At 50.9% G+C, this 14,445-nt stretch overlaps 1 protein-coding gene across 8 annotated transcripts in view; it reads left to right on the forward strand.

Moving 5' to 3' along the window:
* Positions 1-14,445, forward strand: part of TRPM4 (transient receptor potential cation channel subfamily M member 4) — a 54,045-nt gene that overhangs the window by 11,699 nt on the left and 27,901 nt on the right. For 5 of the 8 annotated variants that reach the window (NM_017636.4, NM_001195227.2, NM_001321281.2 and 2 more), the window contains 6 exons: positions 1,867-1,928; positions 2,088-2,279; positions 2,519-2,618; positions 11,859-11,971; positions 13,088-13,432; positions 13,588-13,722. In NM_017636.4, coding sequence (NP_060106.2) covers positions 1,867-1,928; positions 2,088-2,279; positions 2,519-2,618; positions 11,859-11,971; positions 13,088-13,432; positions 13,588-13,722 — 947 coding nt within the window. Of the gene's footprint in view, positions 1-1,866; positions 1,929-2,087; positions 2,280-2,518; positions 2,619-11,858; positions 11,972-13,087; positions 13,433-13,587; positions 13,723-14,445 lie in introns of those variants that run through there. The other 3 variants (NM_001321282.2, NM_001321285.2, XM_047438993.1) reach the window with 3 other exon arrangements.

Consider the following 14,445-nt stretch of genomic DNA (forward strand, 5'->3'; position numbering starts at 1 on the left):
CAGGATGGTCTTGATCTCCTGACCTTGTGATCTGCCTGCTTTGGCCTCCCGAAGTGCTGGGATTACAGGTGTGAGCCACCGCGCCCGGCCTAATGTTTGTATTTTTAGTAGAGATGAGGTTTCACCTTGTTGGCTAGGCTGTTTTCGAACTTCTGACCTCAAGTGATTCGCCCACCTCAGCCTCCCAAAGTGCTAGGATTACAGACGTGAGCCACTGCACCTGGCTCCGGCTAATTTTTAAAGTTTTTTGTAGAGACAGGGTTTTGCCATGCAGCCCAGGTGGCCTCAAACTCGTGGTCGAAAGTGGTCCACCTGCCTCAGCCTCCCAAAGTGCTGGGATTACGGTCGTGAGCCACTGCGCCCAGCCAGCCAATATCTTATAATTTTATCAAAACATGAACAAGATACATTACTAGGTTTGAGGAAAGTTTTTGATTTTTGTGTATTTTTCTTGTATCAATCCTCTTACCAAATTTTCTTATTGATCTTTATTTTTATTTTTGGTGGGGTTTTCCAATTTTCTGGGAATACAAGCCATGTTTTCTTCAAATAGGTACTTTTGTCCCTTCCAGCTTTACAAAAAACCAAAAACCAAAAAATCAATTTTCACTTCAGTGATTTCATTTTTTTGCATTATTGAGTTAGCTCAAAACTCCAGGATGAATACAGTGTTAGTGGTAATGTGGTCTAGTTTCTAATTTATTTATTTATTTTTTTGAGAGGGAGTCCTGCTCTGTGCACAGGCTGGAGTGCAGTGGCGTGATCTCAGCTCACTGCAACTTCTGCCTCCTAGGTTCAAGCGTTTTTCCTGCCTCAGCCTCCCGAGTAGCTGGGACTATAGGCACGAGCCACCACTCCCAGCTAATTTTTGTATTTTTGGTAGAGACGGGGTTTCACCATGTTGGCCAGGCTGGTCTTGAACTCTTGACCTCAGGTGATCCACCCGCCTCGGCCTCCCAAAGTGCTGGGATTACAGGCATGAGCCACCGCACCTGGCCTAGTTTCTAATTTTAATGGAAGTAGAGTCGATATAGTGCTATCTTTATGGTGCAATTGGATTTTGGTAAATATCTATATTGTGGTTAGATAGCCCTTTCTATTCCCATTTCCTTTACTTTCTATTTGAACTTTCACTCCCTCTGGCTCCTGGATGGTTAATCAATGACAGGATTGACTCATACAAGAAACACCTGCCTCATTCAGGGACTCAGGAGTCTAGGTCCTCAGCCCCCTCCTCCCTGGGGAAGTTAAGCATTACTGTCTTCAAAATCTAGCTCCCTCCTGAAGTGTCCAAAGACATGACAATTCTGGCCAGGCGCGCTGGCTCACAGCTGTAATCCCAGCACTTTGGGAGGCCAAGGTGGGAGGATCCCTTGAGTCCAGGAATTCGAGACCAGCCTGGGCAAGATGGCAAGACCCCTGTCTCTACCAAAAATTAAAAAGTTAGCTGGGCACGGTGGTGTGTGCCTGTGGTCCCAGCTACTTAGAAGGCTAAAGTAGGAGGATCAAGATGTAGTGAGGTGTGATCATGCCCCTGCACTCTATCCTGGGCGATAGAGTGACACCCTGTTTCAGAAATTAGGCTGATGCGGTGGCTCATGCCTATAATCCCAGCACTTTGGGAGTCCAAGTTGGGAGGATTGCTTGAGGCCAGGAGTTCGAGACCACCCTGGCCAACATAGCAAGACCCCCATTTCTAAAATAAATACATAATTAAGTAAAAAAAGAAATGACAATTCCAATGAGCCTCTGAACAGAAGATTAGGACAAGGCTGATGTTTGCCGACTCCTGGGAAATGCGGTTTTCTCCTATCTCCAGCAAAGGCTGATGGGAGGTAATCAAGCCCCCTTCTCTTCTTGCCTCAGGGACTGGAATTGACATCCCTGTCCTGCTCCTCCTGATTGATGGTGATGAGAAGATGTTGACGGTATAGGGGCCCGGATGCCCGGATCTAAGGGGGAAGGAGGGTTGGGGGCCAGGACTCCTGGGTCCTGAGTCTTAGGGAGGGTCTGGGGGTCTGACTCCGGGTAGGGTGAATATCCTGCCTTTTCTGACGTGATGAATAAAGAATGCCTTTATCCTGTAGCGAATAGAGAACGCCACCCAGGCTCAGCTCCCATGTCTCCTCGTGGCTGGCTCAGGGGGAGCTGCGGACTGCCTGGCGGAGACCCTGGAAGACACTCTGGCCCCAGGGAGTGGGGGAGCCAGGCAAGGCGAAGCCCGAGATCGAATCAGGCGTTTCTTTCCCAAAGGGGACCTTGAGGTCCTGCAGGCCCAGGTATGACACTGGGGGCCCAACTCTGGATCCTGAGATGGGAGGGAACTGGGGACTTGGGCTCCTGGGTCTGAGGGAGGAGGGGCTGGGGGCCTGGACTTCCAGGTTCCGGGAGAAGAGGGTGCTGGGCATATAGACTATTAGGTCCTGGAGGGGAATGGCCTCCTCCATCCCTTTGGACAGGGCCCAACAGGAGTTGGGGATGGAGGCGGGCTAGGGATGCAGAACTGGCTATTCCACAGGTGGAGAGGATTATGACCCGGAAGGAGCTCCTGACAGTCTATTCTTCTGAGGATGGGTCTGAGGAATTCGAGACCATAGTTTTGAAGGCCCTTGTGAAGGGTAAAAGTTGTACCCTCCAGTCTTCCCCCTCTCTCAGTTCAACCTTAGACACCTTTCCTGGCCTGGGCACTTCATCCACCCTCTCTAATCCAAGGCCCATGCCCCCTTTACCCCTCTTAATATTTTTCCCCTTTGGGGCTTTGCATGGTGCTATTTGGGCAGTTTTCCCAGATGCTTTCATTATGTTCCAGCATCTGCTTTCCTCTGTTGGATCCATCCATCCATTCTTTCATCTTTCCATCCATCCACATGTACAGATCGATCTTTCCATCTCTTTACCTACCATCCTTCCAGTCATCCCTCATTCTTTCATCCATCCATCCTTTCACCTGTCCATCCACACATCCACTGACAATTCCTGAGAATTCCATCCGCTCATTCCTCCATCCGTCTTCTCACCTGTCCATCCACACATCCACTGACAATTCCATTCAGTCATTCTTCCATCCATCCATCTTCTCACCTGTCCATCCATGCATCCACTGACAATTCCTGAGAATGCCATCTGCTCATTCTTCCATCCATCCATCTTCTCACCTGTCCATCTACACATCCACCGAAAATTCCTGAGAATTCCATCCACTCATTCCTCCATCCATCCATCTTCTCACCTGTCCATCCACACATCCACTGACAATTCCATTCACTCATTCTTCCATCCATCCATCTTCTCACCTGTCCATCCACACATCCACTGACAATTCCTGAGAATGCCATCCGCTCATTCCTCCATCCGTCTTCTCACCTGTCCATCCACACATCCACTGACAATTCCTGAGAATTCCATCCGCTCATTCCTCCATCCGTCTTCTCACCTGTCCATCCACACATCCACTGACAATTCCATCCACTTATTGTTCCATCCATCCATCTTCTCACCTGTCCATCCACACATCCACTGAAAATTCCATTCACTCATTCTTCCATCCATCCATCTTCTCACCTGTCCATCCACACATCCACTGACAATTCCATTCACTTATTCTTCCATCCATCCATCTTCTCACCTGTCCATCCATGCATCCACTGACAATTCCTGAGAATGCCATCTGCTCATTCTTCTATCCATCCATCTTCTCACCTGTCCATCTGCACATCCACTGAAAATTCCTGAGAATTCCATCTACTCATTCCTCCATCCATCCATCTTCTCACCTGTCCATCCACACATCCACTGACAATTCCTGAGAATTCCATCCGCTCATTCCTCCATCCATCCATCTTCTCACCTGTCCATCCACACATCCACTGACAATTCCATTCACTCATTCCTCCATCCACCCATCTTCCATCCATTTACCCATCTACCCATCCATCTTTTCATTCATCCATCCAACTGTTCTTCCATCTATCCATCCACCCACCCATTCTTCCTTCCCTACATGCTTCCAATATACATGAAGCACTCTGGCTAGACATGAACCAAAGCACTGTCTCCCAGTGAGGAAGTCCAGATATTTCACTAGAAATGGCAGCTTGGAGGACGGAATGATGAAAACCAAGGCGGGGGAGCATAATGCACACCTGGGAGAGGCTGGGGAGGGTCTTATTTATTTATTCACTTATTGAGACAGGGTCTTGCTCTGTAGGCCAAGCTGGAGTATAGTGGTGTGATCACGGCTCAGTGCAGCCTCAACCTCCCAGGCTCAAGTGATCCTCCCACCCCAGCCTTCCAAGTAGCTGGGAACATACCCGCCCACCACTACACCTGGTAAATTAAACAAAAAAAAAATTTTTTTTTTGTACAGACGAGGTCTTGCTCTGTTGCCCATGCTGGTCATGAACTCCTGGCCTCAACTGATCCTCCTGCCTCAGTCTCCCAAAGTGCTGGGATTACAGGCATGAGCCACCATGCCAGCCTCCTTTATTTAGTCAACAAATACAATCCTAGGCTCCAGAGACTAAAGCCAACCCATTTCCTGCTCTCAAAGACCCCAGATCCCACTAGGATTGTTTGGATACAACCTTAGGTAAAATTTAAGACAGAAGCACAGGCAAGAATCACTGTCGTTAGAAGGAAAACTTCAAGGAAAAGTTGTGTGTGTGTGTGTGTGTGTATTTTGAGACAGAGTCTTGCTCTGTCGCCCAGGCTGGAGTGCAGTGGTGCGAGCTTGGCTCACTGCAACCTCCGCCTCCCGGGTTCAAGCGATTCTCCTGCCTCACCCTCCTGAGTAGCCGGGATTACAGGCACGTGCCATCATGCCCGGCTGATTTTTGTATTTTTAGTAGAGACGGTGTTTCACCATGTTGGTCAGGCTGGCCTCGAACTCCTGACCTCATGATCCATCCACCTCGGCCTCCCAAAGTGCTGGGATTACAGGTGTGAGCCACTGCACCTGGCCAGAGAAGTTGGCATTTAAACCGGACCTTGGCCAGGCACAGTGGCTCACACGTGTAATTTCAGCACTTTGGGAGGCTGAGGAGGGAAGATCGCTTGAGCCCAGGAGTTTGAGACCAGCCTGGGCAGCATGGTGAAATGCCACCTCTATAAAAAATACAAATAATAAGTTGGGGAGGGTGGCGCATACCTGTAATCCCAGCTACTTGGGTGGCTGAGGCAGGGGAATCGCTCGAACCTAGGAGGCAGATTGTGCCACTGCACTCCAGCCTGGGTGATAGGGCAAGACTCTGTCTCAAAAAAAAAAAAAAAAAACCTAAATAAATAAACCAAATAAACTGGACCTTGATAAGTCAGTAGAATTTGGATTTAGTAAGCTAACGAGTGGGACAGATAAGTATTCAGGAAGATTCCCAGGGCTCTGTGTGGGGAGGGTCATTTTTGGTGTCAGAAGAACTTTTTTCTTTTTTTTTTTGAGATAAGGCCTCGCTCTGTTGCTCAGGCTGGAGTGCAGTGGTGTGATCTTGACCCACTACAGTCTTGACCTCCTGGGCTCAAGAGATCCTCTCACCTCAGCCCCACAAGTAGCTGGGACCACAGGCATGTGCCATCATGCCTGGCTTTTTTTTTTTTTTTTTTTTTTTTTGAGACGGAGTTTCGCTCTTGTTGTCCAGGCTGGAGTGCAATAGTGCCATCTCAGCTCACTGCAACCTCCGCCTCCCGGGCTCAAGTGATTCTCCTGCCTCAGCCTCCCAAGTAGCTGGGATTACAGGCATGCGCCACCACACCTGGCTAATTTTGTAGTTTTAGTAGAGATGGGGTTTCTCCATATTGGTCAGGCTGGTCTCGAACTCCCGACCTCGGGTGATCCGCCCGCCTCGGCCTCCCAAAGTGCTGGGATTACAGGCATGAGCCACTGTGCCCAGCCTTTTTTGTATTTTTAGTAGAGATGGGGTTTCACTATGTTGCCCAGGCTGGTCTCGAACTCCTGGGCTAAAGCTATCTGCCCATCTCGGCCTCCCAACGTGCTGGGATTACAGGCGTGAGCCATTGTGCTTAGGCCAGAAGAATTTTACGGGGGAAATACACACTAAGATAGAAACTCCCCAGATACACGGTGGCAATATATACAGCATTCTACCTCAGCTCCCCACCCATGTTTGTGGTGTGGTATATATTTTAATTATTTTTCTTATTTTAATTATTTCTTTCTTTTTCTTTTTTTTTTTTTTGAGACAGAGTCTCGCTCTGTCGCCCAGGCTGGAGTGCAGTGGCGCGATCTCGGCTCGCTGAAAGCTCTGCCTCCTGGGTTCACGCCATTCTCCTCCCTCAGCCTCCCGAGTAGTTGGGCTCTCTATTTTTAGTAGAGACGGAGTTTCACCGTGTTAGCCAGGATGGTCTCGATCTCCTGACCTTGTGATCCACCCGCCTCGGCCTCCCAAAGTGCTGGGATTACAGGCGTGAGCCACGGCGCCCGGCCTCTTTTTTTTTTTTTTTTAAAGAGTCTTTGTCTGTCGCCCAGGCTGGAGTGCAATGGCGCCATCTCAGCTCACTGCAACCTCCTCCTCCCAGGTTTAAGCGATTCTCCTGCCTCAGCCTCCTGAGTAGCTGGGATTACAGGTGCCCACAACCGCACCCGGCTAATTTTTGTATTTTTAGTACAGACAGGGTTTCGCCATGTTGGCCAGGCTGGTTTTGAACTCCTGACCTCAGGTGATCCACCCGCCTCGGCCTCCCAAAGTACTTGGATTACAGGTGTGAGCCACCGCGCCCGGCCTTAATTCATTTTTAGGTATTTTTTGAGACAGTCTCACTCTGTTGTCCAGGCTGGAGTGCAGTGGGACAATCATAGCTCACTGCAGCCTTGAGATCCTGGGCTCAAGTGATTCTCTCGCATCAGCCTCTGAGTAGCTGTGCGCCACCACACCAGGCTAATTTATTTTTAATTTTTTTATAGGGATAGGGTCTCCCTATGTTGCCTGGGCTGGTCTTGAACTCTTGGGCTGAAGAGATCCTCCTGCCTTGACCTCCCAAAGTGCTAGGTATAGTACAGGCTGTGGTAGGGTAGAAAGAGCAAGTTATTTTTGCTTTGGAATCAGACAAAACTGAATTTAAATACCAGCTTGGGCCGGGTACAGTGGCTCACGCCTATAATCCCAACATTTTGGGAGGCTGAGGTAGGATCACTTGAGGTCAGGAGTTCGAGATCAGCCTGGCCACCATGGCAAAACCCTGTCTCTACTGAAAATACAAAAATTAGCTGGCGTGGTGGCGGGTGCCTGTAATCCCAACTAGTTGGGAGGCTGAGGCAGGAGAATCGCTTGAACCCAGGAGGTGGAGGTTGCCGTGAGCCAAGATCGTGCCACTGCACTCCAGCCTGGGCGACAGAGCGAGACTCTGTCTCAAAAACAAACAATCAAAAAGAAACAAACCAGCTTGGCCCTTTCTTGCTGTGTGGTCTTGAGGAAGCAGCTTCCCCTCTCTGAGCCCCAGTTTCTCTCTGTGGAAAGTGGAGATAATATCTTACAGGAGTGTTATAAGCCTCCATGGCAAGGTATGAGTTGTGCCCGGTCCCGGTGGGGGCCCAATAAGAGGGATCTCCTCTTAATATGATTCCATTTCCTCTGGGGGTACATCCTTCAATATAAGGTAACTCTCAGTGGGCAAATCTGATTCACTCTGCGGAAGTTAACTCAGCAGCCTCCTGGGAGAAAATACGGCAGCTCTGCAAGATGTGGTTTGAGGGGGTGGTGTTGTAAGCCCAGCAGGAGTGGAAGTGATCACAGTCCACTGGGGGAACTGGAGATGGCTGATAGGCTTGGGGATAGCAGAGTTGAATGGATGGAATTTCAGCAAGAAAGAAGGGCAAGGTCATGAATGCGTCTTTTTTTTTTTTTTTTTTTTTTGAGACAGTGTCTCGCTCTGTCGCCCAGGCTGGAGTGCAGTGGTGTGATCTCAGCTCACTGCAACCCCCGGGTTCAAGCGATTGTCCTGCCTCAGCCTCCCGAGAAGCTGGGACTACAGGCACCTGCCACTATGCCTGGCTAATGTTTGTATTTTTAGTAGAGATGGGGTTTCACCATGTTGGCCAGGATGGTCTCGACCTTCTGACCTCGTGATCTGCCTGCCTCGGCCTCCCAAAGTGCTGGGATTACAGGTGTGAGCCACCACCCCTGGCCCATGAATCCTTCCTAAGAGTCTAGCATAGGCAGGCCCAGTGCTGGGCAGTTGGTGTACTCTTTTGCCCTTCATCTCCCTTCCCTGCCTGCAAGGATTATCACCCCATTTTGCAGATGAAGAGACTGAGGCTCAGAGAGAGGAAAAATGGCTTGCCCAGGGTCATCCAGCTAGTAGCAGGGGTCAGGCTTTTCATGTGAGTCTGTATAATTCTCAAGCCCATTGCAAGGGGCATGTTTGGAGAGAGGTCAGAGGCTCGCAGGGTTGGTATGTATCATTGGCATGAAGGGAGTGTTGGAGACAAGGCCAGTGAGGCAGGTAGGGCCAAACCACCCAGGACCTCAAATGCCAGGCAGAGGGGCTAAGGCTGTCCTTGAGAGGCAGCAGAGGACCAGGGTCCGTTATGTGGATAAAAAAGACTCTCTGGCCAAGCGTGAAGGCTCATGCCTATTATCACAGCACCTTGGAAGACTAAGGAAGGAGGTTCGCTTGAGCCCAGGAGTTTGAGACCAGCCTGGGCAGCATAGTGAGACCCCATGTCTATAAAAAATTAGCTGGGTATGGTACTGTGCGCCTGTAGTCCCAGCTACTCGGGAGGCTGAGGCAGGAGGATCGCTTGAGCCTGGGAGGTCTCAAAGCTGAAGTGAGCTGTGATGGCGCCACTGCACTCCAGACTGGGTGACAGACGAAGACCCTGTCTCAAAAAACAAAAACAGACTCTCTGGGAGTGGGTGGGGGCAGAGTGGAGAGGAGAGAAGAGACTGCAGTGATGGTGTTTGGGGGTGCCGAAGCTTGAGCTATAGCTGGGGCCAGGAGGACAGTCGGGGAGGCTCAGCAGAGAGTCAGGAGGCTGGACGTGGGACATGAAGCTTGGGGGCTGATGGCCTGTGAGATGGGAGGAGCAGGAAGGGACAAGGACAGTACCTGCGGGTCTGCCTTATTGATTGGGTGGACAGAGGGGCCATTCCTGAGATGAGGACGTAGGGAAGATGGGTTTGAGGGCTAGATGCTGAGTTGAGTATGGAACACGGTGAGTCTGAAGGGACAAGGTGGGGCCAGGGTCGAGTGCCCAGGTGACAAATGGTGCCAGATTAAGGCGGAATATAAAGCAAGGTATTATTATTATTATTATTTTTATTTTTTTATTTTTTTTGAGATGGAGTCTTGCTCTGTCGTCCAGGCTGGAGTGCAGTGGCACGATCTTGGCTCACTACAAGCTCCACCTCCCAGGTTCATGCCATCCTCCTGCCTCAGCCTCCTGAGTAGCTGGCACTACAGGCGCCCGCCACCATGCCCGGCTAATTTTTTGTATATTTAGTAGAGATGGGGTTTCACTGTGTTAACCAGGGTGGTCTCGATCTCTTGACCTCATGATCCACCCATCTCGGCCTCCCAAAGTGCTGGGATTACAGGTGTGAGCCACTGTGCCCGGCCTATTATTATTATTTTTGCAACAGAGTTTCGCTCTGTTGCCCAGGCTGGAGTGCAATGGCGTGATCTTGGCTCACTGCAACCTCCACCTCCCGGGTTCAAGCGATTTTCCTGCCTCAGCCTCCCAAGTAGCTGGGATTACAGGCATGAGCCACCACGCCCAGCTAATTTTGTATTTTTAGCAGAGACGAGGTTTCTCCATGTTGGTCAGGCTGGTCTCGAACTCCTGACCTCAGGTGATTCGCCCACCTCGGCCTCCCAAGGTGTTGGGATTACAGGCATGAGCCACAGCATCCAGCCTATTATTATTATTTGAGACGGAGTCTCCCTTTCTCACCCAGGCTGGAATGCAGTGACGTGATCTCGGCTCACTGCAACCTCCACCTCCCGGGTTCAAGCGATTCTCCTGCTCAGCCTCCCAAGTAGCTGGGACTACAGACGCATGCCACCATGCCCAGCTAATTTTTTGTATTTTAGTAGAGATGGGGTTTCACCGTGTTACCCAGGCTGGTCTCGAACTCCTGAGCTCAGGCGATCCGCCCATCTTGGCCTCCCAAAGTGCTGGGATTACAGGCGTGAGCCACGGCGCCCGGCCTGTAAAGCAAGATATTATGAACAATTTTGTTTCCTTCTTTTGAAACTGTGGGGAAAGTAGGAGAGCTTCATAGAATCGTAGAAAGTCGTGGAAAAGTCCGCTCTGAATGGACGTCTGGGTTTTGAAAGAGCACAGAAAGCCATGAGGTCCTAGACATGTTACTGCCTTTCTGGGCCTCTGTTTCCTCAAGCACAGCCTTGGAGGTTACACTGGCCAAGCTGTAGTGTCGCCACAGCGTGGAACTTCTTCCCACAGTTACTGTAATTGATTACAGTGCTATGAAGGGGGTGCCACTATTTCCCATTTAATAGATGAGGAAACTGAGGCTCCCAAGGTTCAATGGCTTGCCTGAAGTCACTCAGTTGGTACTGGTGGACCGGGGACTGGAACCCACGTCTGCCTGCCCCAGAGCCTATTGCTCACCTCCACTACATGAGATTATCTCTTTCTGTGGTACCAGTTTTTGGAGCAACCAAAATGAGATGAATTTGTTTTGGAGATAGATATGGAGCAAGTGGAGGCAGAAGGAAACCTAACTCCATGTCACGACAAATGCCCTTCAGGACTTTTCATGCCCCTGTTGACTGCACATGTTTGGATCCACTACATAGCTGGATCAAATTTTTAAGGGTTTCTGGTTCTCTCTTGCTGTTTCAGTGACCTCCAGGGTCTCTCGGAGTCCCTCTCCTGTTCTCATTTTCTGCTGTTGTCACCTCTTTCCCTTCACAATATACCCCAAGTTTCAGAAATCAGAGTGACTCACGTTTGTCATCATCTGCTGTGTGTGTGTGTGTGTGTGTGTGTGTGTGTGTGTGTGTGTGTGTGTGTTGCACCCGGGCCTTTGCTTCTGCTGTGCCTGCTGCTTTGAACGCCCTTTTCGCACCTTAGGGGCATACCTCCCAGTCCTGGTGGTCTTTCAAAGTGCTACCTCAACACCCATTCTCTGGGAGCTCTCTTGGGCCACTCTATACCTCTGTGACCATATCCTCCTCTGGGCCCTAATCATATTATATGCCTATAGATGCCTCCTTAGACACCCCTCCACCCTGCCTTCCATTATGGCCTGTCCAGCCTTCCCTTTAATCGCCCATCCATCTCTGATTGTCCGTCTGCCCCATCTTGTTTCCTCTCTCCCCATCCATCCGTCTGTCCATCTATCCATCTATCCACCCTGTACATCCATCTATCCATCCATCCGTTCATTCATCCATCTCTTTATCCTTTCATCCATCCATTTATCCATCCCATCCATCCATCCTTCTATCTGTCCATCCATCCATCCTAATCATATTATATGCCTACCTCTGAGGGCACCAAGCACCCTGAGGGTAGTTATGTGTTGGGGGGACATATTTCCCCCAATAGAACCAGCTTCTTCAGGGTAGGAACTGTATCTGATTTCTCTCTCCATCCCTCCCACTGCTTGGTCCATAACATACCTCAATAAATATTAAATGAATAAGTGATTCCTTTTGTTTCTTCTTGGGGGCTGTAAACCAGTGGTCTGTGCTCTGGCCCTGAGCCAAATGACCTTATGCCTATGATAGCCTGACTGCTTTAAGACCCCCACACTCTGCCCAGTAGCAACCCCTTTATGCAGAGTTTAAAAGTCAGACATGCAAAATAGAGGCAAAATAGACATTCAGCAGATGTCCCTCCTCCCCTGACTTCTTGTCCCCTCTCCCTCTAATCCTTCCAGCCTGTGGGAGCTCGGAGGCCTCAGCCTACCTGGATGAGCTGCGTTTGGCTGTGGCTTGGAACCGCGTGGACATTGCCCAGAGTGAACTCTTTCGGGGGGACATCCAATGGCGGGTGAGGGGTCAGGGCCTGGGGGTTGGGCATACTGACAAAGGGACTGTGCTGTCCTCCCTCTCTGCCTTCTTTTTTTTTTTTTTTTTTTTTGACGGAGTCTCACTCTGTCACCCAGCCTGGAGTGCAGAGGTGTGATCCCAGCTCACTGCAAGCTCCGCCACCTGGGTTCACGCCATTCTCCTGCCTCAGCCTCCCGAGTAGCTGGGACTACAGGCGCCCGCCACCACACCCAGCTAATTTTTTTGTATTTTTAGTAGAGACGGGGTTTCACTATGTTAGCCAGGATGGTCTCGATCTCCTGACCTTGTGATCCGCCCGCCTCAGGCTCCCAAAGTGCTGGGGTTACAGGCATGAGCCACCGCACCCGGCCTCTCTGCCTTCTTAGACGCCCCTCAACCCTGCCTTCCATTATGGCCTGTCCAGCCTTCCCTTAATTGTCCATCCATCTCTGTCCATCTGCCCCATCTTGTTTCCTCTCTCCCCACCCATCCATCTGTCTATCCATCCATCCACCCTGTACCTCCATCTATCCATTCATCCATTCATTCATCCATCTACTTATCCATCCATCCATCCATTTGTCCATCCATCCATTTATCCATCCATCCATCCATCCATCCATCCATCCATCTGTCCATCCATCCATCCATCCATCCATCCATCCATCTGTCCATTCATCCATCCATCCATTCATCTGTCCATCCATCCATCTACCTATCCATTCATCCATACATCCATCCATCTACCTATCCATTCATCCATCCATCCATCCATCTATCCATCCATCCATCTGTCCATCCATTCATCTGTCCATCCATCCATCTACCTATCCGTTCATCCATCCATCCCTCTGTCCATCCATCCATCCCTCTGTCCATCCATCCATCCCTCTGTCCATCCATCCATCCATCCATCCATCCATCCATCCATCTGCCCATCCATCCATCTGTCCATCCATCCATCTACCTATCCATTCATCCATCCATCCACCCATCCATCCATCCATCCATCCATCCATCCATCCATCCATCCATCCATCCGTCCCTCATACCCTTGCCCATCTCTTGTCCTTAACCTTTGAGCTAATCTCTTCCCCTATTCATCCCACCCTGCCAGTCCTTCCATCTCGAAGCTTCCCTCATGGACGCCCTGCTGAATGACCGGCCTGAGTTCGTGCGCTTGCTCATTTCCCACGGCCTCAGCCTGGGCCACTTCCTGACCCCGATGCGCCTGGCCCAACTCTACAGCGCGGCGCCCTCCAACTCGCTCATCCGCAACCTTTTGGACCAGGCGTCCCACAGCGCAGGCACCAAAGCCCCAGCCCTAAAAGGGGGAGCTGCGGAGCTCCGGCCCCCTGACGTGGGGCATGTGCTGAGGATGCTGCTGGGGAAGATGTGCGCGCCGAGGTACCCCTCCGGGGGCGCCTGGGACCCTCACCCAGGCCAGGGCTTCGGGGAGAGCGTAAGGACCGGGCAAAGCTGGGGGGCCCCCCCGCGCGGGAAGGACCTGGGGGCGGGATTACATCAGGGATGGGGCGTGGCCAAACCAGAGGCAGGGCTGGTGGTGGCCAGTGTTGGGGAGGGGCTGGTCCTCACCACCCCTCCTTTTGCTGGCAGATGTATCTGCTCTCGGACAAGGCCACCTCGCCGCTCTCGCTGGATGCTGGCCTCGGGCAGGCCCCCTGGAGCGACCTGCTTCTTTGGGCACTGTTGCTGAACAGGGCACAGATGGCCATGTACTTCTGGGAGATGGTGAGTGCTGACTTGGCGCTCCTGCATCCCTGTCCTTTAGGCCACTGGATGCCAGTGTTCCCGAAACAATTACCATACAATTCCCCGACCCCTGACGTCACCTGACAGGCGCCCCATCCTCCGTCGCTGATATATGCCTCCAACTGCTTCCTCTTTCTTTTCTCTCTCTCACATCATGCATTATTTTATGTGTTTATTTTTTGAGACAGAGTCTCGCTCTGTCGCCCAGGCTGCAGTGCAGTGGCGCAATCTTGGCTTACTGCACCCTCAGTCTCCCGGGTTCAAGTAATTCTCCTGCCTCAGCCTCCGGAGTAGCTGGGATTACAGGCACCTGCCCCCACGCCTGGCTAATTTTTGTTTTGTTTTGTTTTGTTTTAGTAGAGATGGGGTTTCACCATGTTGGCCAGGCTGGACTCCTGACCTCAAGTGATCCACCCGCCTCGGCTTCCCAAAATGCTGGGATTACAGGCATGTGCCACCGTGCCTGGCCAAGATTCTCTCTTTGTTTTGGCCTTTGATAATATATCTCAGTGTGGATCTCTGTGAATTTCTTTTTCTTTTTCTTTTTTTTTTTTTTTTGAGATGGAGTCCTGCTCTGTTGCCCAGGCTGGAGTGCAGTGGCATGATCTCGGCTCACTGCAAGCTCCACCTTCTGGGTTCATGCCATTCTCCTGCCTCAGCCTCCCGAGTAGCTGGGACTACAGGCGCCCGCCACCACGCCCA

The sequence above is a fragment of the Homo sapiens genome, chromosome 19, assembly GCF_000001405.40.
Source record: "Homo sapiens chromosome 19, GRCh38.p14 Primary Assembly".
Classification (NCBI taxonomy): Eukaryota; Metazoa; Chordata; class Mammalia; order Primates; family Hominidae; genus Homo; species Homo sapiens.